General features: G+C 35.2%; 1 protein-coding gene across 6 annotated transcripts in view, besides 1 other annotated feature; it reads left to right on the forward strand.

The window, feature by feature from the left end:
- Window positions 1-24,534, forward strand: part of ACSS3 (acyl-CoA synthetase short chain family member 3) — a 183,340-nt gene that overhangs the window by 111,692 nt on the left and 47,114 nt on the right. For 5 of the 6 annotated variants that reach the window (XR_944720.4, XM_047429549.1, NM_001330243.2 and 2 more), the window contains one exon: window positions 9,779-9,882. Coding sequence is in view for 5 of the 6 variants with exons in the window: in XM_047429549.1 (XP_047285505.1) it covers window positions 9,779-9,882 (104 nt within the window). In the remaining variant the exon portion in view is untranslated. Of the gene's footprint in view, window positions 1-9,778; window positions 9,883-10,097; window positions 10,150-24,534 lie in introns of all 6 variants that reach the window. The other variant, XM_005269151.6, reaches the window with a different exon arrangement.
- Window positions 18,874-19,375: an enhancer, noted in NCBI's record as "NANOG hESC enhancer chr12:81602215-81602716 (GRCh37/hg19 assembly coordinates)". NCBI's record gives its function as "activates a minimal SCP1, AML or CMV promoter by ChIP-STARR-seq in naive H9 embryonic stem cells {active_cell/tissue: H9 hESC(naive)}" and the evidence as "EXISTENCE:reporter gene assay evidence [ECO:0000049][PMID:30033119]".

The raw sequence follows: 24,534 nt of genomic DNA on the forward strand, positions 1-24,534 counted from the left end.
AATTTGTAGGAGTTTTTCATACTTTATTTTGGATCCAAGTCCTTTACTGACTTATATGTATTATAAACAATCTTCTCCAACTTCTGACTTAAATTTTCCTTTTACCATCACAGTGGTGACTTCTGATAAAAAGATGTGCCTTCTTATCAATAGTTTTCTTTTTGATTACTGCTTTTCAAGTCTTATTTAAGACATAGGTGTTTTTCCTGTATTTCATTTTCTAGAAATTTTATTGTTCATTTTACCTTTCATACTTACAACTATAATCTACCTGGAATAGATTTGTATGTATGACATGAAGTAAGGCGCTGAGTTTTATTTTTTTCCTTATGTATATCCATTTGATCAATTTCGATTTATTTAAATGGCCGTCCTTTTCTCACTGCTGTGCAGCAACACTTTTGTCATGACAGTGCCTACAAATACCTCATTTGCTTCTTGATTCTATTCTGTTCCATCAGCCTACTTGTTTGTATTCACATTACTCTTACATTGTCTTTATCATTATAGATTTATAACAGATCTTTATCTACTATTAATATATCAAGCTTATTCTTTTTCAAATTTGTTTTGAATATTCTTGGCTCGTTTTATTTCTGAACAGATTTTAGTATCAGCCTAGCAGTTTCAAACACAAAAACATAGAGATAGAGAGAGAGACTTTACATTGAGTTTACAGATTGATACAGTGAAAAAGTCCATGTTAACAAGTATATCTCTTTGTTTATTTAGGACTTTAATTTCACTCATTAATGATTTTTGGCTTACTGTGTGAAAATCTTGCATATCTTTTTATATTTAAGAAATTTTATTTTTATGCTATGGTCAATGGTATTGTTTACATTTGCATTGTTTGGTCCTGATATAACAACATGTAACTGTTTTTGTATAATGACCTACTTTCTGAAGCTCTTCCCTAGGTCACTTACTAATTGTAGTAGTTTTAATGTATATATGTATGATTGTATTATGTACAGAGTCATGTAGTTTGAGAAAAGTATCAATTTTATTTCTTCTTTTATGCCGTTTATTTCTTTTTCTTACTTTATTCCTAGGATCCTCCAGTAAAGTATTTAATAGAATTGGTGGTAAAGCTCATTTTTGTCTCATCCAGATTATCAGGAAGAAAGCTTTCAATATTCATTATTAAGGAAAATGATTTTAGCGTTTTTTGTTATTAATGTATTATTTGTTTGGAGAAAAGCTATCAAATTAACAAAGTTTCTATTTTTGGTGTTTGGGATTTTATCTATGTTTTTTCTTCATCTTCTGATGACCATGTGACTTTTCCCCCTCTTATTGTATTAGGAGTTAATGTGGTGAATTATAGTGACTGATTTTTTTAAGTGTCAAATAATTCTTACAATCTTGAAATAAATACATCTTGGTTAATATATTATGCTTTTTAAATATAGCTGAATTTAATTTGCTGACATTTTGTTGAAGATTTTTTTTTTGGTAGACCTTGTTTTTAGAGCAATTTTAGATCACAGCAAAATCTTGTGGAAAGTTCAGAGCTTCTATATAACTTATGTTTTCATACATGCACAGCCTCCCCTACTATGAACATCTCACATTATGGCTGTATCTCCTTTAAAATTGATGAACCTATATTGATACTTCATTATCATCCAGAATCCATAATTTAAATATATTTTCATTCTTGGTATTGAACATTCTATGAAGTTTAAGTATTGTGACATGTATCCATCATTATAGCATGGTTTTACCTGCCCTAAAAATCTTCTATGCTCCACCTGTTATCCCCCTCTTCCTTTCTATTTTTGGAGATTCCTTTAAAATCTAGATTTTTAGTCAAGATTGATCTCTAATTTTCCTTTCTTATACTCTTACTGGTTTTGGTTTCAGGGTTTTGCTCGTCTCATAAAATGGGCATGGAAGTCTTTTTCCCCGCTATTATCTAGAAGATTTTATGTACAATTAATTTTATTTAAATGTTTTGAAGTATTTAAAAATCAAATAAAACTCTCTGGGCCAGAAGTGACATTATGGGAAGGTTTTTAAGTTATGAATTCAATTTCCTGTGATGCAGACTGCTTCTTAAATCTGTGGCTTGGTATCTTTCACTTATTTTCAGAACTTTTCCATCTCTTCAAATACTTCTACTTTATTTTCCCTTCTTAAACTTTGATACTTTAATGACACATATGTTAGAACTTTTTACCATATCACCTATATTTCACAGGCTCTGTTTGATGATTTTTCTGCTTTTTTTTCACAGTTGCAGTTAGATGATTTTATTGTAACCTCTAGTTGTATCTAAACTTTCATTGAGTTTATAATTCCTAAACATTTTTCAGTTTAAATATTTTCATTTGATTCTTTATTATAATTTCCAGTTCTCTGCTAATATTCTACGTATATTTCCTGAACATATTCATCCGAGTTATATTTAAGTCTGTAGCAAAAATAACTGATTTTATGTGTGTCTTTCTAATGTCTCTTTTTTCTTTTGAGAGTTTAATCATATGGTCTTGTCTTCCATTATATCACTGTTATAAGAAAATAGCTATTTTGGCCGGGTGCGGTGGCTCGTGCCTGTAATCCCAGCACTTTGGGAGGCTGAGGCGGGTGGATCACGAGGTCAGGAGTTCGAGACCAGCCTGGCCAACATAGTGAAACCCCATCTCTACTAAAAATACAAAAAATTAGCCAGACATGGTGGCGGGTGCCTGTAATCCCAGCTACTTGGGAGGCTGAGGCAGGAGAATGGCTTGAATCTGGGAGGCAAGGTTATAGTAAGCCGAGACCGTGCTCTTGCACTGCAGCCCGGGCGACAGAGCAAGACTCCATCTCAGGAAAAAAGCAAACAAACAAACAAAAAACAGAAAGAAAAAAGAAAATAGCTATATTGAGATACCAGATGTTTTAATATCCCCACAGAGTGGTTCTTATTCTGACAGGCAATTGTCTTAAGGGAAGATCACTTCTATTCATTAGGAATGGAGCTGACTTGAAGCTAGACTCCAATATTTGAGAGGGTTGGTTTCTTTCCAGTTTACCTCCATTATTAGCTATACCTCTTCAGGTGTGCAAACTGAATACCTGGGTGTTTTATGTCACCTTTTTTCCATTGTGAATTTTAATCTTCGATTTTCCTTTCCCAAGAAATTATTATGACTGGATTTACCATTTAGTTTCAACGCCTGTCAGTCAGCCACATAGTTTTTGTTCAGTTTCTCAGCTCTTCAATTACTGTTTCCAATTAGCAAGTGTCCCAAGAAGGAAAACAGTTAAGACAATCAGTCTTATGTCTCTCTACATTTTTCTTTTTGGCCTTTTGATGCCTTAAGTGCTATTGCCTTTGAGTTCTCTGATGTATTCAAAAGGTATTTCATTTTTATATTTTTTCCAGCTTGTTTGGTTGTACTTGAGAAAAAGAGAGAGATAGAGGGTTGTACTTGAAAAAGGGAGAGAGAGAGAGATGAGAAAGAAATGAGAAATTGTTGGGCAAAATGCTATTCAGCCATTCACAGAAGAGTCAAATACATGTGTGATATTAACACTAGCGTCTTTACATTTTAAAAGTGAATTCTAATGGGGAGCAAATAGAAGAAAATTGAATGTAGGGAAAAGGAAGATAACCACAGATATATTGATGGCAAAAAATAATGATAATCTGTCATGTGAACCAGAAGTCGACGAGGCATCACTGAAATAATCTATTTTTATTTAACATCTGTTGGCACAAGTGAAGAGTAATTTTTGCTTGTTTGGTAGTTTATGGACCTTGAAGGAAATATTCACTTTTATTTTTTATTTTTTTGCCCTCACTTTATTCCCTGAAAATTCTTCATCAGATTTGTCTTTAGCTTTTTATTCATTTCTATTTTGGACCAAAATTAATTTGACAGCATTATCATTTTTCCATTTCCCTTTTGCTTAATTTTCAGCTTCATTTTAGTCTTGTGTTCAATTTTATATAAAATTAGGGAAAGGTGCATAGGTCTCATGCCCATTCATTTTCTCTCCTCTCCTTTTTTTCTATTCTGAATATTATTATTTTGTTTAGTTTATAGTATTATAGATTTTAAAGTAGATAAATCTTTCCATGTGTTACCATCATCAGAAATTATCTACACATTTAATAGTCAATAATAATCTATGACAGCATTCTCCAATAAACTAATCTCTACAATATGATAGGCACATGTGATTATTAAACTCTTGAATTAGGTTAGTATTACTGAGAAATTTATATTGTAAGTTTTTTTTTAATTTTAACTAATTTAAATTTTAAATGGCCACATGTGGCTAGTAGCTACTACATTGTACAGTCAGATCTAGAACATACATAATTAACTTAGGTAAATTTACCATCCAGAGGGCCCAAATTACTCTACAAAAATGTCTAATTTTAACTTTTGTAAAATGTATATTTACACAAAATATATTTTTGAATTTTCTACGGTAGGCATTTATTCCTTTGTATTATTAATAAAATAATGTCAAGGTCATTAATGAGGAATTTAGCTGTTGAAAAGGTTACTATTTTTTTTTTATAAACCACTGTACTTCTTGAAACAATAGGAAGATACCTGATGCCTAAGATAACTATAAAATATAGATTTATACTAAGATTTGTTGTTTCAATTATTATCATGTTTAAAAAAGGGCAAATCACTTAGTGTAGTTTTGTTTACTAAAAGGAATTGAGAGTTAAATTATATTTGATTAAATATTTATGATATTATATTGTTTCATTAATTATATCTTATTCCTAAATTTTATTTAGATTTGTATTCTGTTTATGTTCCTTAGTATTATACAATTAGCAGTCTGTAATTGATAAAATAACAATAACTTTTTGATAGTTTGAGGAATTTTAATACAAAAATAAATGGATAGTTTCTAGCATATTTAGGGAAAGAAGTCATCCGTAAAGTCTTTGACATTTTTCTAAACCACTAATGATCTCACAATTTTTCCTTTGCATTCAATAAATAGTAAAGTGATTTTAATGGAAATGGAAGGGATTTTTCTGACTTTCAGAGATGAAACCACTTTTGTCATCCATTGTGTAATATTGTACCTTTCAATTTATTAGTGCCAGCATGACGATTGCTATAATAATGATATTAAAAAGAACAGTAAACAAGTTTAGGAACAAAAGCAATAGGAATATACTGCAAAAACACAGTAATAAATACTAAGTTTTAAAATATATAATAGTGAAATTTGCCATCAGATAAGTGCTCAATGCTAATGCATGGTTTATTATTATAATCACTTACTTAGATTAATTGTAGTTTGTGTGGTAGAGACTGGGGGATAGTCAAAAAAAAAATTACAGCTTGCAAAAATGCTGGTAATATCAAGATATCAGGTGTCCCTTGGTTTGCTAAAAATCTGTATTTTAGTTTTTTAGTTGACAATGTTGTACATCACATTTTTAATAGTGAGTGTTTTTGAAGTTCTCGATCTCTAGTTTCATATATAAGCCAAAGACATGGGCATTTGAACCATCTAGATTTCTTTAAACTAATTTATGGCTTAACAGGCATTGGAAATGTGATATTAAGACCTGTAGAATTATTCGTTTTGGTTGCTCTTTGCCTACACTGCTGGGATCAGCCAAACCTATCATTTTATAAATTTTAATGTGTTATCTAAATGTATGATGTCTTTCATCACAGGAGTTTTCTAAAATATCAGAAAAGTGTTTGAATAACATATGATTAAAAACATGGCACTACTTTTCAGTCCTAGGATTATCAACATTATGGCCTTTATATTTTTTATTTTGTCTTGTTTTTACATAGCATTTAAAGTTATAGGTATATCAACCTCATTTTAAACGTTAAAACTTTACACTAATCTTTGTTATACTTTAACCTACTTTTAATAATTTAATGTTTAAATAATTTTTTCATTCTGCTATAACAGTTCCCTCAGATGAGGTCATTTTTGATCATCAAATTTTAATCTCAAATTACAAATATATACATTTGATTACTTAAATTTTATCTCAAATTGCATATGGATATGTAATTTGTCAAAAAAATTGTGTGGTTTTTTTTTCCTAGTCTCTGTCTCTTATTCATTCTCTTCCTTGCTCTCCCATTTTCTTCCTTACTTTTTATCCCCCTTCCTTGTTCTCAAAGGTTTAAAGATTACCCTAGCAGCATTGCATACTGTTAGAGGGTACTCACAAAAGTTATTCAAAAAATTTCTTAACAATGACTAGTAATAGGTTATGCTCTTATCTGAAATTTAAAATGATGCTTCTGTGTCTATATCAGGACACGCGAATTTTACCTTTGGCATTTATTGTGCTAAAGAACTGCTCCTAGATAATTTTGAATATGCAGTTGAGAAATATACCAGTGGGCAGCTACTCAAATATTATTTTTGACAGTGGATTGTACCATTATGTGAAGTCCTATAACGATGCCTAATTATTAAACCAATCATACTCTAAATTTTGAAAATCTGTTGAGATAACAGTTTACTTATAAAACATTAAGTAATAGATTGTCTTAGCTGCATTCCGTGACACTTGCATACCCACACATGTACATGCATACAGATCCATGTCAGAATAAATTATTAGCATAATGATTTGAGCAGGAATTGAGTATGTAATATTAAATTAAAATTTTTCTTCCTCCAGGCCAGTATAAGAATTCTGTTGTTTCTTCAGAAAGTCATGATCTACCTCTACACTCTCCCATATGGTAGCCTCTGGCCTCATGTGGTTATTGAACTCTTGAAATACCCTCACGTGGCTATTGAGCTCTTGAAATGTGGCAAGTCCAATTTGAGATTTGGTATTTAAAAAAGACTGGAAGATGTCTCACCAGTAATTTTTATATTCATTGCATGTTGAAATAATAACATTTTGGATATATGTATTTTAATAAAATATATTATTAGAGCTAATTTGACCTTATTCTTTTTTTTCTCTGAATGTGGCTACTAGAAAATTTTAAACTAGATATATTTTTTGGATTTGCAGCTCACATTATATTTCCATTGGACCATGCCAATTGTATTAGCCCATTTTGCATTGTTGTAAAGGAATACCTGAGGCTGGATAATTTATATAGAAAAGAGATGTATTTCGGCTCATGGGTCTGCAGACTGTACAAGAAGCAAATGCCACATCTGCTTCTTGTGTGCCCTCAGACAGCCTACAATCATGGTGGAAGGCTCAAGGAGAGCAGGCATCTCACATAGCGAGAGAGGAAGCAAGAGGGAGGAGAGGAGGTGCCTGGCTCTTTAAACCAGCTGTCATGCGAATAAGTAGAGTAAGTGAGGACTTATTACCATGGGGAGGACATGAAGCCTTTCCACTAGGCCCCACCTCCAATACTGGGGGGTCACATTTCAACATGAGATTTGGAGGGAACAGGTATCCTAACTATATCACCAATTTAGTTCATCCTCATGGCTCCAACTACATTATTGCAAAAAATAAAATGTAATAAGATAATTTTATTCTGTGAATATCTTTATATTAGCAGATTTTTTTTTAATTTTCTCAGAAAACGAACGTGGATTAGTAACAGCACATTGGATGTTTTATCACAATTTAACTAAAACCTTTTTGACATCCTTATAGATTTAAAGGTATTATCTTCTATAGATGAAAATTACCATGAATAATTCTAGGTGATTGCACTTCACATATAGACATCATTTATCAGTGATTCATTTATACTCAGAAATTAATTATTGTGTATTTTTCAATCGCTGTTTAAAACCTCTATTTTCTGTAGAATAATTAAACTGTTATTTTTTTCTCACTACTGCGGTCAAATGCACCTTCAGGGCCAAGATTATCTATAAAAGTTGGGGAAGATGTTAAAATAAAATTGGTAACGTGAGAACTTGAGAATTTTCTTTGTTTTGTGGCCCATCTTCTGTTGAAGTTCATGCTATCTCTTTGTAATACCCTCTCCCCACTCTTCAGACCTCCTTTAGCCTCTTTAATCAACAAGTCACAGACTTTCTTTGTACTCTCCACTGCTATGATACTTGAGTGATTTTTAATACTATCTTGAAGAGAATCCTTCTATGAAAATACTCCTCTTTCCCTCTGTGTCTTTCACTGTTAGACCTTGTCAGCTACCATAAACACTATCATCCTTCAGAACAGACACGTTTTCAAGGTCTGTAAGTTTGAAATTGCCTTCTGTCTACAATGACACCCTATTTTTCTCACCTTGCCTTCATTTTCATCAAACTTTTTCTTATGTGACTTCTAGTCATTTACCTCACTATTTTTCCTTGTATTTTTCTTTTATTCTGGTTATTACTGCCTTGCCTTCCTATAATTCCTGCCTAGTCTAGAGTTTACAGGCAGCTTTTCCAGCATCGATTTCCCATCCCCTGTATCACACCCCAATATGTGCTACCCCCGCTTAGCCTCCCAGGTCACTGATTGAGTCCATAAAAAACAACTGGCTGTTCTCAAGTCTTTTCACATTTATGTTGTGTACTGAAAATATCCTAGATTAGTAATTCCAGAATTTTGCCCTCCTCAGGGCACTGTTCTTTTTTTCTCAATTTCCACACTCTAAGAAACCAACATGACTCTTCTTTCACTTAGAAGAATAAGTCAAACTGGTGTTAATTTTGCTAACTCCCCACCTCTGTACTTTATCATTCTGAGCATCTAGAAATGTTTAAATACCTAAAAATTTCATGTACTTTGATTGGTCTTGGGATTATAAAGATACATGTTCCTAAAGAGCTCATAGTGCAGTGTGGGAAATAGACAAAAACAAAAGAAGTCTAGAATGAGATACATGTTCATAGCAAAGACAGAAACAGAATGTTATTGGAACATAGGAGTGGAAGTATTTGAATCTCCATGAATCTTTATGAAATGATATGAAAAATTAAGCGAATAGTAAAATATACTACGTTGTTCAGGATCAGTAGACAGGTTTTTGTTTGTCAACTGTTTGTGTTTTACTTTGATGATAAATGAATTAACTCTTTGAACACACACACACACACTTTTTATATATATATAAACAGGTCCTGAGGGCATTTGAAAATGAAAAAAAAAAAACCCATAAACACCCATGCTCTCAACGAACCACTAATGGGGTCAACACAATTGTATTTTCCTATTTCGTTTTTTCCATTCTGCGATACAGTGCTTTCTGCCAAAGATGGTTATTCTCCTTCATCTTTTAGTACTCTTGTATTCCTTTTGATTGAAGAACCTTTTTGACTTCCAAGGCCACAGTGGCATTTACTTCTTTACCAGCTATTTCTCCTACATATGTCCTTGGAATAGGAAAAATATATACTCAAAATTAGAGTAATCTTTATCATAGGATCTCACAAGAAGGAACAAATTCATATTTATAAGAATATTTGCTGCCTTAGCCAACACTTATGTATGTATTTTTTGTGTATATCCTTACTTAGAATATAGCAATCAAATTTGGAGCTAAAATTAGCGGAGACAATGTCAAGGTGAAATATATTTTATCTTTGATCATTAGATGAACATGGCAGATCGATTACAGAGATCAACTCAATTGCTCTTTTATAAACTGAAAAGCACTAGCTGTGAATTCTACTTTGGAAGTACCTCACTCCAATTCTGTGATGTATGTTTGTTTACATTTGGGCCCAAACAAGAAATGACTCTCATCATTATACAGTGTGATGTATTGGTTATATTGCTGTATTCCTCTGACATAATGAGTGTGGTTAACCAATGTTTTTAAAATGTAAATACAATTATTTAGATTTATTTTCCAGGAATAATTTGAATTCACTGTCTCATATTCAGGTTCAAAACATTATTTGTGGCTGGAGAACGATGTGATGTAGAGACCCTGGAATGGTCCAAAAATGTCTTCAGAGTACCTGTCTTAGACCATTGGTGGCAAACTGGTAAGCATTTTCCTAGCATGTACATAAATAGTAAAGAAATGTTCCAAAAAGCTGCAAGGATTGGAGGAAACTTTTGAGCTACGACCAGCAGATCAGACACAAACTCGGGATTCGAGTGGTTCAGGTTTCAGTAAAAATAAGCAATTTTTTTATTGTTGTGTTATTAATAATGTCTTCATAAGTGACATTGATGCCACCATTCTCTTGGTCCCTAGGTATAAAGCACTAAAGACCTCTTTATCTTCTCTTCTTTGTTTCTTATATCTGGTAAGTTACTAAGTCTCAGATTTTCCTTTGAAGTGTCTGTTGGGTTCATTCCACCTTCAGTATTCCCCTTGCCTTTGAGCTCTGGCAGCTGCATTATCCTCTGTCCTGATTTAAAGTTTCCTAATCACTCATCTCTATTCTCTCTGCTTTTTGATACACACTGCACACTGCTCCCAGAGTCCTTTTATGAAGGCTTGTTCCTCTCATAGGACTCTCTGGCCACCTTCTTGTGTTCTATAATATCTAATATATTCTGCCTAGCATTAAAGGCAGAGAAATTTATTTTTCTTCAAAACAATTGTCATTACATATGTAATTTGTTCATTTAATTTATTTTGTTTATTCCCTATAGTCCTCCCTCTAAGTGTTCCCTGGGAAACAAATTTTCATATTAAATGGATCAACTATAAACTTTGGAATAAGCAGACAACCACCACAACAATAACTCTATCTGCTGCTTCTTTTGAGGGATGGCTATATATATGAGAATGGGTACATTGTCTAGAAGCCATTTACCTCCTCACAAAGTACAGAGATTTTAAAAAATTTGACTCACTGAAAGCAGCTATGAGCCATGGGAGCCCTACAACCTTTATATGTACATATTTTATTTTAGTCCCACTTAGTTCAATGAATTAGATCAACCTTTTTATATACATATTTTCAGTATTCTCACCTTCTCTGCATCTGGGGCAGAATATCAAATTTGGGTTAAAAATTAGTGAGATTACTTTGCAAAAAATTAGCTCTGATTGTAAAAATGATTTTCATGTAAAAGATTAACTGAATGACTAAGCCTGAAATGCAGTGTTTGATACTTCAGAAGTTTCTGATTCTGACAAATTATACTTTTTATATTATGTCCTTGAATATTGTTCTTTAAAAATGTGTTTTCTGACTGGGCACGGTGGCTCACGCCTATAATTCCTGCACTTTGGGAAGCAAAAACAGGCAGATCACTTGAGATCACTTGAGGTCAGGAGTTACAGACCAGCCTGGCCAACATGGTGAAACCCCATCTCTACTTAAAATACAAAAAATTAGCCAGGCGTGATGGAGCGTGCCTGTAATCTCAGCTACTCGGGAGGCAGAGAATTGCTTGAACCCAGGAGGAGGAGGTTGCGGTGAGCCAAGATCCTATCATTGCACTCCAGCCTGGGCAACAGAGCAAGACTGTCAAAAAAAAAAAAAAAAAGAAAAAGAAAGAAAGAAAGAAAAAAATGTTTTTTACATCCTTTGTAATATGAAATATAAAATGAATAATCAGAGCAGAGGACACTTTCCTTACATAAGATGAAAATCAGAAAGAAGCTTTCTATTCCTTCCAGTTTTATTTACTAAGGGGAAAATTATTTAAACTCAGATTTGTAACTCTTTAGAAAATACAAAGTATAAGAAGGAATTTTGAGAACAATCAATGCTATGTGTAGAAATACATAGAAACAAGTGAAGAATTATTGCATCTGCAAGAAAAATGTTTACAGTATTTATGTATCCCCTATTAGCCAGGAAAGCTTTAACAGTTATTTTCTTGGTCATGAACTAGAAAATGTTTTGTCACCTTTAAGATAATTTCTCTTATCTGTTCAAAATGGGGGACTACTTTCCACACAAACGTGACCCGACACAAACGCTTGCAGAAAAGTTCTGTTTTTCCCTCTTCAAGGTGACTGTGCCAAAACTCACTGAAGAAAACTAGCACATTCACAAATAAAATTATAAAATTCTTTTACTTTTTCTTATAGACACCTTTGTACATAATAGCCTGTGTGGGTTTATGTAGTTAGTTTATTCAGGCTTACAAAAAAGGTCACTGAAGCCTGTGACAGAAGCATATGAGGTCCCTGGTGGATACTCAGTTCCATGAGAATTTGCAATTTTTCTTTAATGTATTGTTCCAAGGGAATTAATAGCTACATTGTGTCAGTGTGCTGTCACTGTAATCAGGTTGGAGTGACTGTTAATTGCCATGGAAAACATGTGGATTTTACTAATAAAATGAATGATTCTTTCCATTTCCATTGTCCTCATCCCGTTTGCTTTTACAGCCTTTGTTTGGTATTCTGTCCTATTAAACTACACAAATATATTTGAATGGGTAGATAGGTAGCTAGTAGCTAGATCGCTAGATTATTTTGTGCTTTGTAAAATAATTTCATTATAGGTGATGCAGAGGTTGGCTAACAGGACACTAGTTAGGATCTCTATACGTTTGCATAGAAAAAAATCAATTTATCATTTTCAAAGTTGTATGTTGTGGTAAGTAGTTATAAAATGATACTGAAGGGCTGGGTGCGGTGGTTCAAGCCTGTAATCCCAGCACTTTGGGGGGCCGAGGTGGGCGGATCACGAGGTCAGGAGTTCGAGACCAGCCTGACCAACATGGTGAAACCTGTCTCTACTAAAAATACAAACAAATTAGCCGGGTGTGGTAGTGGGTGCATGTAATCCCAACTACTTGGGAGGCTGAGGCAGGAGAATGGCATGAACCTGGGAAGTGGAGCTTGCAGTGAGCTGAGATCGCACCACTGCACTCCAGCCTGGGTGATAGAGCGAGACTCTGTCTCAAAATAAATAAATAAATAAATAAATAAAAATAAAAATAAAATAAAATTTCAACCATTCTTTCCTAAGGTGCTATCAAATTGATGTTTGATTCTGGGTGAAAGGGCAAGTATGTTATGAGTTATTATGAAATATTACAAAAAGATAAACATCTGGTATTACAAGTGCATTAATGAGTTTCCTAGTTTTGTATATCAAATAGATGGTGGTACATTTCCCCAAGAAGTATGCTAGGAAACACATGTTAATGTTTAAGAGAAGGTTAGCTTTAACCAAATAATACTTTGCTTTATTTCAAATTTCAAGTTTTCTACAGGGTCCCTTTTTCTTGTTATTGACTTAGAAGTTGATATTTTTTACATACTTGCACACTTTTATGAGCCTTTCATATAAATTCATATGTGTATGAATAATTCATGAATTTGCTCTCTGATTACACTGATACATGTGTACAAATGAGCTGCTTAGAAACTGTGATGTGTAATTTGAAATTAGTAAGGGATATGTTAAGTAACTAAAACGTATGAATAAAAATTAAGTAGTTCCTGTGACTTGAGTTGTAAGAAGGGACTCCGCAGTCAGTTCATTTATATGACCATGTTTTGTTAATCGGGGTTCTCCAGAGAGACAGAATTTGTAGATATAGATACAGATATATGAGAGGATACTTTTTAGAGAGATTGGCTGACATGATTATGGAGACTGAGAAGTCCTGTAATAGGCCATCTGCAAGTTTGAGACCCTGGAATTCTGGTAGCATGGCTCAGTCCAAGTCCAAAGGCCTCAGAATGAGGGAAGCCAACGAATGATGTCACTCTTAGTTTAAGACCAGAGGCTTGAGAACTCAGGGGGCCACTTATATAAGTTCTGGACTCCAAAGATGGGGGAGCCTGGAGTTGTTGTCCAGGGATAGGAGAAGAAGAGTGTATTCCAACTTCAGCAGTTGGATGCACACATTCACCTTTCCTCTATTCTTGTTCTTTCTGGTTCTGCCTGCTTGGATGGTGCCCACTCGCACTGAGGAAAGATCTTCTCATCTTGTCCATTCAGACTCACATATTAGTCTCTTCTGGAAACATCTTCACAGACACAACCAAACATAATGCTTTACCAGATTGCTAGGTATTTCTTAATTCAGTCAAGTTGACACCTAAAATTAACCATCACACATTATTATTGTTGCTCTAGTGCAACTTGTATTAGTACCAACTGATTTTAGTGACTAACATCCTCTTTATTTCATTAAAAAGACATTCTTTTATATCTGATTCAAATAATATCTAATAATCTAAACTGAGACCTAATCTGTAGAAAATACAAGAACAGATTAGCACCCTCCACCCCTCATAGGAACATTTTAATAAAGAATTGTTGTTGTTCACCACCACTGAAGCATGAATCTCTTGCTTTGGAGTATAATAATGTAAATATTTAATGCTGTCATGAAGGAAATTGGTCTTGTCAAGTTTAGAGAGGAGAGTTGTCTCTATTTGTTTCTAAATCTGTATAAAAGCCAAATTGTCATTCACCCAGATGTATTATCTTCACAGTAACTCATCCATAAAAAGATTAAAAACATCTGGATTATTGACTGAACTTTTCGTTTTATTTTTTACCCAGAGATAGAGAAACAGAGGTTTTACAATCATAATTTAAAAAGGGAAAACAAAAAGATAATGGTTTCATTAAAATATGGTAATCCATGTGCCAAAAAAAAGAAATGAACAGCCAGAACTTCCTTATCCTCAGCTGTACGATCCCCAAATAAAACACTATATTGTTATAGAGGTCAGACAGGAAGCACAATTTTAGAAGGAAAGAACTGTCAGTGCAGTGCATGGTGGCCTTCGTGGGATTTTTTTTTTCTTGTGATTTAAGATCACTGTAAAGGAATTATTGTTTTTATGAGTAAATGAGCTAGTACAAAAAAAAGATTTGTTAAAGTTCAGAGACTTACTGTTAAATCCTAAACACAGTAGATCTACTTTTTTCTATTCTTCCTTCCTCCTCTTCTTCCTTCCTCCTCTTCTTCCTTCCTCCTCTTCTTCCTTCCTCCTCTTCTTCCTTCCTTCCCTCCCTTCCTCCCTCCCCCCTCGTTCTCTTCCTCCCTTCTTTCCTCCTTACCTCTCTTCCACCCTTCTTCCCTCCCTCCCTTCTTTTATTTCTTCTTTCCTTCATTCATTCCTATTTGCTATAAGATATGGTATTGGTTTAGAAATGATTGTAACAAAACATCCTGGAGTCCCAATGTTTAATGTTATTTAATCCTAGATAAAAACGCTTTGTTCTTTCTCTTGCTATCACTCAGTTAATTCATGACAGCTACAAAGATAGAATACTCAAATTCCACAATGGCTTTTATAAGGGGCAACTTAGTGAAGGGTTTAATTCAACAAAATTCAGATTATTTTTACCTGTTGACAGGACACTACCTGTGTACTTACCATCAGAAGATCTAGAGCTTATATTGAAAGTGTTTCAAGTGTCCTTATGTCCAGGTACTGATGACATAGTTGAAATGAAGTAATGACCACCAACTTGAGCAGCACTAGGTGATTTTGTTGTTTGTTTGTTTTCATCACTTTAATGGAGGAATAAAATTCTTAGATAATTCACAGAATTTGTTAAACTCTAAGGAGGAATTTCAATGAGAAAACAGTAGTCATCTAATGAACTGAGACATTGGTGATGATTGAAATGTTTGATCTTACTTTATCTGCCTTGAGCCATCTTTGTGGAGTTCTTCTATCTTGGTGTAATCTGAGTATTTCACTCCATAATTGATTGAACTGCTTCGGTTTTAATTGTAACTGCAGTTCTGAAGTAATTATAGTCTATATACAGCCTAACTCTTCCTCCTTTGGGGAATAATCTGATAATTCTGGATTTTGTTAAAGTGGACCCAAAGGCTCCTCCAAACTTCAGTCATGCCAGCTCCTAAATCTAAACTATTGATTCTAAGGGTACACATACCCTTATACTATGTTATTAAAATGTGTCAGGGCTGCTTGTTATGATTTCTTATTTTTGCATAGCTTGGCAAGTTAGAATTCCTGACAGTAGACAACTGAGGCAAGACTTTTAACTACAAAAGTTGACGAGGTTGATCGAATTTAATCCTTATTCTTAGGGATATCTGGAGAAGATTCACTAGCCCAGAAATTGTTTAAGACAGCAATACATTCTATTTACAAAAATCAAAACCACAAAATAGAATAATTACTAAGAGTTTGATAACAGAGATCTCTGTGGGAAATGTTACAGGCACAACTACAGCCCTGTCTCATTCCTCCTAAGTAAACACATTGTAAAACACTTAACTAGGATTTGAGGATTTGCTAGGTAAGGTATCAAAGTCTAAGTCACTTTTTTTTCCGTGATCATCCTCTTCCATTGTTCCTCCTGAATTCTCAGACATTTTTCTTTCATGTGTCCATGTTGATACACTGAATTGCAGATGGATTTAATCTGTCAGCCTGCAGTTCTCTATATTTAGGCTATAATAAGGAATTTTATATCCCTGGAATCAGCATTGAGAACATTATGCCTCTTGTTATTTTTACACTTTTTAAAACGTTTCACAACTGTGTGTTAGCGTGTGACTTTCTTCGAATTTACTTAGCTTGTGTCCTGTGCAAAATCTTGTATATTTACTGCAAAATACATTCCTAGGCATACCTAGGCATAAGAGGCCCATATAGCTGATGTGACAATGAAGAAAGCACATTCTTGGTGACTTGAGGACTCCATCTTGATTTAAAAACCTGTTTTATGTGGTTTGAGTACCAACAGCCATTAGCAAATATTCCTCTGTCTGCAGATCAGGGAGCAAAATATTTCCATGTGCTATCAAATGCTGCCTTCTGGATTTTGCTTTTTAACTACTTGTTATTCTCTGCTTCTGTATTTTACTCAGTAATTTCTGAGTCTATCAAAATTGCACTATGGTGGGAGGGTTTCTTTAAAGTACATGTCTGTGTTTCAAAGATAATGGATTGAGCTAGTGTGAAATGCAAACTGTAGAACTCAAAGAGTTGGGTTGTACTGAACCGGCAAAACATGACCCCATGAACCAGGTTACCCAGGAGATACCCTAGGCTACTTTCAAATAGTAAAATGCAAATAATCTTTCAGTAATATGAATGACTTAACTACTGTCTGATACATCTTTGTTTTTCACAATTTAATGGTCAGAAATACATTTATTTTTTTTCTTTCATTCATAGAAAAGATATTTTTTGGTAAATTTAACATGAGAAGTTGTGATGGGGGAAAAAGCAGTTATATAGACACAGTGTCATCTCAGCAACGTGTAACTAGAGATGGCGTGACAGCATCCATCTGGTGAGAGAGAAAAGAAGCCCTATGTCATTATTGTTGCCTGGCAACAGCATTTTTTCTCATTTAGAGTAGTCTTCATTAGTTTAAAGTAGGTGATTTTTACTGATAATTTGAAAAGCCAGAGCTTAGAAGTAAGCTACATGAATTTGGTTTGTGGAAAGAATAACCTTTTGTCAAATGTAAGGCATGCTTAATAAGGCTTTCTCTTTCTGAAAGTGAATAACTGTTTACAAACTGCTAATCCACCTGAGAATGAATTCCCAAAGCAAACACCCTCATTGAATCAGACATTTCATCTTTATAGCATTATAATGTAAAAAGAACATCATTTTTTAAAAAATATATTACACAAATTAGTTCAGAGATGTAGAATTGTGTTTTGGAATCACTATTTGTGCTCATTATTATATCAGTGACAATGCTTTGGCAAGGGACTAAACGCTGGGAAATCGATTAATAACATAAAGTTGTTTTGGCCTTTGAAATATCTGTTCTAATTCTCCTCCTACTCTGGGCAAGGATCACGTATAAACCATGTTAGAAAGTTGAAAATATGTCATGTTTTTATAGATCTTCACAAGAGCAAGAGTTATCTATACCTTCCCTTGACAAACTTTACTGTCTGGAAATTTGATTCCCCCTGATACACGTAAACCCCTGCACTGGGCCTACTGCCCCCACAAAACAATTCCCAATTCCTCTTTTGCTGTGAATTTTAATTTGGAAAACAGCAGGTGGCTATTCTCCTTGGAGAAACAATGTGGGTAGCAAGAAGTGATGCAGAATCCAGTAGGACTGCCTTTACATCCCAATTCAGCCACTTACTCTATAGCCAAGGGCAAATCCTTGATCTTAAGTTTCCTCAGGACTAATTGAAAGCTTTAAGTGAAGTGAAATATGTACTAACAACCTAGAAGAATTCCTGGCATATAGTCAGCACTCAAAAAATATTATTTTTATTTTCCTTTCTATAAATAGCCCTTCATTAATGTAAAGGCCATCTTTAGAATCTTGGCCTGTAAATAATTCAGATTCAAAAAAACTTGGACTGTAAAAGCGGAACTTACGTTTGAGAAAATGTAACCGTAGAGATTTTACTTTCCTTGAGTCAACTAGCTAGTTGACATTAGAACCAGAACTCTCATTCTTCTGTGCTGTCCTGGGTCCTCTCCCCATAGCTTTTATCTCATGCCTTCATTAACTCAGTGTTTCTTATCTAGTTAAACACAAGGTTATTTATGGGCTTCTCCATTGAGTCCTCCACAGTTAGAGGCAATGTGCTATAAGGGAGTAGGATAAGACCAGTGTCTCATAGCTCGAATTAATGGTCTTCTTCCTATACAAAGAAGCAACCTATAGGTTGCTTTGAATTAACTATTTTAAACTAAAATCCTACCATCTCCTGAACACAAAGATTACATTGATTTTCTTTCACTAGTGTACATCTCACTGTTTCTGCTTTCTTTCTGCTACCTATTCAAGTTATTTATAGTTCACTGTAAAGATTCAGAGGTGGGGAGAATGGTTTCTTTACAAATTGCCTCTATGCCCATCGTGATGCTGTGATTAATATGATTCAGCAGTACTAGGTTGCTGCATTGATTTATTCGTAAGTCTTCCACTCGCAGCATGGACTACCGACTTCTAAATCCATATTGTTTTAATGTAGTTTCTGGAACCACTGTAAAGGCAGAATGGCAGATTGCCAGATGCAGCGGGAGCTCTGATTTATAGAGCTGGACTTGTGAACTTGCCACCACATCTTCCTCTTAACCCTCATTCACATCTAGTTTCCTTTAACTTTTGAGTCATATCCCAGGGGGTTAACTTGGCCTTTTCCCTCTTGCTTTTGCCCCGTATCCAGACAATCACCAAGACCTTTTGATCTTGAGTATAATTAAAATTTGGTCTTATCTTCCACTGCCAGTCACCTGCACCAGACCATCCACATCTATCTGATTTATTGCTTTGGGTTGGGATCATCAGTTTAGTGCTCCAGTTAGCAACTGAAGAGATTTTTCTATAATGCAATTCTGAGCAAATCGCCTTTACAAAACCCCCCATGTCTCCCATTGTTCCTGGAACAATATTCAAATTTCTTAACATGGGATTTTCATCCCGCTGTTTACTTCTTTCACTTGGTCTCTCATTATCTCCCTAAGTACACTTGCCTCCCGCAAGCTTTGCTCTGCGGAATAACTCACAGTCCTTTGGTGGTCTAACTTCTGAACCTTTATACATGCTGCAATTTCTATTTGGCATGTTATTTATACCCTCAACACTCCCTTTTCCCCAGAAGAAATACCTTTTAGTGAATAGAATATATTCGATAAATACTTATTGAATGACTGTCCTTTGAATATCATTCTTGGAATAAGAAAATGTTGTAAAGGAATCATAATGGTAACATATAGCTTTTATCTTCCTGGAGTCCTCTATTTTTTTCTCTCTGGTTCATTTTGGGATTACATTCTGTGATTTGCTACTTATTTTTTTTAGGCCCCTGATCTTTATCATGGGAGCCTAAAATCATGTTAGAAGTATGCATTAACTAGTCAGCAAACATTTCCCAAGCACAGAATGTCAGGGACTGGACTGTTGGTCCTGCTGATACAAATGACTCTCAGGCACACAGACTGATTTCAGCTGCAGGCTAGGAGAATGTTTTTTGTTAACTACATGCACTTTTTTTTTGAGACTTGCACTAAATCTTTTTAAAAAGGTTATATAACATTTTTAATGGGAAATGTTCCTAGTATTTATTGCTATGTAAAAAAAAAAAAAAAAATTACTCCAGAACCTGGCAGCTTAAAACAACAACCATATCTCATGATTTTGTGGATCATAGGCAGAAATCAGCCAGGGATTCTGGTGCTCCAAGTCTCCAAGTATTGTTGACTAAAACAACCCGGACAGTATTCAGTGATGAATTTGTTACCTGAAAGAGCTCCTGATCCAGACCGCAAGAAGGGGTTCTTGGACCTCACACAAGATTGAATTCAGGGCAAGTCCATAGAGTAAAGTGAAAGCAAGTTTATTAGGAAAGTAAAGGAAAAAAAGAGTGCTACTCCATAGGAAGAGCAGCCCGAACGGCTACTGGTTGGCTATTTTTATGGTTATTTTTAATTATATGCTAGACAAGGGGTGGATGTTTTATGAGTTTTCCAGAAAAGGGGTGAGCACTTCCCAGAAGTGCGGGTCCCTCCCCTTTTTAGACCATATAGGGTAACTTCCTGACATTGCCATGGCATTTGTAAACTCATGGCACTGGTGAGAGTGTCTTTTAGCATGCTAATGCATTATAATTAGCATATAATGAGCAGTGAGGATGACCAGAGGTCAATTTCATGACCATCTTTGTTTTGGTGAGTTTTGGCCAGCTGCTTTACCTCTTGCTGTTTTATCAGCAAGGTCTTTGTGACCTGTATCTTGTGCCAACTTCCTGTCTCATCCTGTGACTAAGAATGCCTAACCACTTTGGAAAGCAGCCCAGTAGGTCTCAGTATTATTTTACTCAGCCCCTATTCAAGATGGAGTTGCTCTGGTTTGAATGCCTCTGACATATTTTCCCCTTCCCTTTTATAAGAGAAACCTAATCCTAAGGGTCGTAGACAGATTAAAATCCATCTTCTGTAACTTCTTCAGGCTGAATGGGGTGATGATATTCCTGCCTATTAGGGTCTCTCGTATTCAGGTTAGAGAGGAGCTTCGTCAGAAAGCATCAGTATGTTGAGGACCACTCATAACTCTTGGATTCCATCAAAAGGTGATATCTGAAAGATTTAAACGTGTTCAATTTAAGAGGACATTGAGAAAGCTTATCCTGCATTCCTACACATAGAGTACAACAGCAATATATTCCACAATAGTATAGCAAAATAAGTAAAAACTATCCCAAGTAAACTAAATAAGAAGGCTATGAACCTGGCAACTGTTGGAACCAAACTGATATGGGGATGCTAGCTGATTCCAATATATACCCAGAATTAGAATACTAATCTGGAATTTTACATTACCCATCTCTTTTGTTTCTTCTGAGCTGCAGTCAGAGATCACTGATTGGTTCACAGGAATAATCAAGGTCAGTCTAAATTACAGGAAAAAACTCAGAAACAAGTGATGAGACTGGAATCTAATAGGTATACCGTAGTTCTTGAAAAATAGTTTTCTCTCTCCAGTCTCCCATTTTTACTAAAGATAAATCATGATAAGACTGATTTGCTTGTAAAAATAAGCTTTAGTCTTATACTTGGCCTAATTATTTGTATAAAGTGCAGCAAGAATAATTATTTTTCACATAGGCTTTTAAAATTTGGCTTTGATGGAATTTTAATTCATTTTTAATTTAATTAATTAATTTTCCATTGTTGTTGTTTCGAGACAGGGTTTCACTTTGTTGCCCAGGCTGGAGTGCAGTGGTGCTATCAGGCTATTGAGTTCACAGACTCAAGTGATCCTCCCACCTCAGCCTGCCCAATAGCTGGGACTACTGGGTGTGCACCACCATACTTGGCTAATTTTTGTATTTTGTATTTTGTGTTTTTGTAAGATGGGGTTTCACCACGTTGCCCAGGCTGGTATCAAACTTGTAGGCTCAAGCAGTGCACCTGCCTTGGCCTCCCAAAATGCTGGGAATGCAGTCAGGAGCCTCTTTTTTTTTAATTTTTAATTTCAATTTTTGTGGATACATGATGTATATATTTATAGGTTGCATGAGATATACAGGCATGCAGTACGTAATAATCACATCATGTCAAAATGGGTAGATTAAGGATTTTTTATAAGAACTGCCAAATTCTCTTTTAGAAATGTATCAATTTTATGCATGCTCACACTTACATAACAAAAGGGATTATCTTTGGTTTATGTGGACCATCTACCCACACAGTCTGTCTGTCATCTGCCACCCAACTGGGCCCTAGTTTTTCTGTCAGTCTTGTGAATTATCATGTGAATTGGTCCCTGATGTTTAGAAAGCCACAGAAATCTATTAACCAGTTATTCTAATACAGCCTCTGTCAGTCTCTGCATTTCCTACTACACATCTCTCTTGCAGCCCAAATAAATTAAACATGGACATAGAACCTGAATGGTGTGTAACTATTTAAATAAATTATATTTACATTGTTATGATTCATTAATTTTTTGTTCAGAAGCCCTCATTAGCTTACAATGTCACTCAGACTAAGGTCTTAGGATGACTTTGAAGTATTCCTGCATGATCTGCCTCCTCACTATTTCTCTGACCTTATTTCCTATCAATACTTTTTGTTAATTCTGTGATTCTATTTCAGTCACATTGGCTGCCTCACTGTTCTCAAACACTCTAGGTATGAACCGACCTCAGGACCTCTGAACTTGAGTTTCCCTTCTCTTATATTCTTTTCCCCTAAATATCTATGTGTCACATGTCTTCTCTTCTTTCAGATGTTTACTTAAATGTCACCTTCTCAGGGAGGTCTTTCTTGTTCAATACAAAATTGAAAACCCTCTCCATGACATTTCATACTCAGTTTATGTTTCCTTTTTCCGTTAGTATTTATCACTCTTTTACACACCACACATTTTACTCTTGTATAATATGTTGTTCATTATCTCCCCAGTTAGAAATTGGGAGGTCTCCATGCGGGTAGAAATTTTGGCTACTTTTGTTTATTGTATCTCCAGTTCTAACAACAGCACCTAGCACATAATAGCTGCTCAAAAACTATTTGCTAGTAAGTGATTTGTACCACCAGTAATGCTATTTGCAAGTATGGGGGACTGGGCTCACTTCCTGCCACAGGGATTTTTCTTCCTCTACTGAGACACAGTCTAGGTGATTTTATTCCTTTCTCATCCTCTGTCTGTTACTTGAGAGCTTCAGAAGTGGTACTTGTCTATTCCATTCTTCTCCTTCTTTGAAAGAACTATGAAAACTAGAACAAGTTATTTAAATTTTCTTGGCTAATCCTCAGAATTTTTCATCAGTAAAAAGAATACTCCCTTTTCTCTCTGTAGTCTTGTAGTAGTGGGAATAAATGCAATTATATAGATTAAAAGCACTCGACTCTTGGTATATAGCATAATTCATATTGGAAAAATATGTATCTAGTTGTCTTCCCTGTTTTTACTTCAGAGTCAGAAATTTTAAAGTAAATTCATTTAGGTAACAGCTTATTATATAATAAAGTAGAGTGAGTCAGTAAAGACATGCAGTAAAGATACCATGAAGTTTGTCCTTTTTTAAAAACAAGGAAATTTCTCTATTAGCTTCTAATGCAGGGTGAGTATAAATGTGCTAAGGTGACATTCTTCATACCCTTCAATTCCCTGTTCATCTTCTTCCTAGCTGTCTCTTATCTAAAGAAACTATGCTGGTGATTTGCTGAACATTTTGTGTTTCTAAGGTGAGGTGCTTTTGTAAAGTTTTGTCTAAATGAAGTATCCCATGCTCTTCTACAAAGAGAATGCTCTAGTTTGTTTATTGTAGCTATTTCCCAATTGCAACATGACATCTAGATTTCTTGTCTCCATAAATAACTGCTAGCCACTTAATTACAGCCCGGGTAGTGTGAAGCAGATGTTTTTAGAACATCCTGGAAATGGGGCTTTGGGAGTTCATAGGATTTCAGTTAAGGATTGCAGCATGCTTAGGGGTTGTCACTAATCAGAAGCCTATTCTGCACGTGGACCAGTTTGAGAGCAAGAGTGTTTATCTTGTCTGTGTGCATAAGTGTGTGAGGAAATATGTATATGTTTATATTGAAGATGCGTCAGTCCTTGGGTCCTAGGATGTTCAGAGGTACAAAGAAGGATAACCAAAGTATCTGTAACAACAACTACGGTCTTTTTCAGCTCACTTTTGTTCTACCTATGATTCCTTAGTATGCTTAGAGTCCTAGGAACTGCCATTTTGTCTGATTGTATTTTCTACAAGTCACTAGCAATAGTTCTCTTTCCTCCTCTCCTCTCCTCTCCTCTCCTCCCCTCCCCTCCCCTCCCCTCCCCTCCCCTCCCCTCCTCCCCTCTCCTCACCTCCTCCCCTCCCCTCACCTCCTCCCCTCCCCTCCCCTTCCCTCCCCACCCACCTCTGCTGCCCTCCTCTCCCCTCCGCTCCCCTCCGCTCCCCTCCGCTCCCCTCCGCTCGGCTCCTCTCCTCTCCGCTCCTCTCTTCTCTCCTCCTTCTCTTCTCTTTTCTCTTCTCTTCTCTTCTCTTCTCTTCTCTTCTCTTCTCTTCTCTTCTCTCCTCTCCTCTCTTCTCTTCCTTTCTTTCTTTCTTTCTTTCCTTTCTTTCTTTCTTTTGTCCTTCCTTCCTTCCTTCCTTCCTTCCTTCCTTTCTCTCTCTCTCTCCCTCTCTCTCTTTCTTTCTTTCTTTCTTTCTTTCTTTCTTTCTTTCTTTCTTTCTTTCATCTGTCTGTCTGTCTTTCTTTCTTTCTGTCTTTTTTTAATGGAGTCTTGCTCTGTCACCCAGGCTGGAGTGCAGTCGTGTGATCTCGG

This window comes from Homo sapiens, chromosome 12 (assembly GCF_000001405.40).
Source record: "Homo sapiens chromosome 12, GRCh38.p14 Primary Assembly".
NCBI lineage: Eukaryota > Metazoa > Chordata > Mammalia > Primates > Hominidae > Homo > Homo sapiens.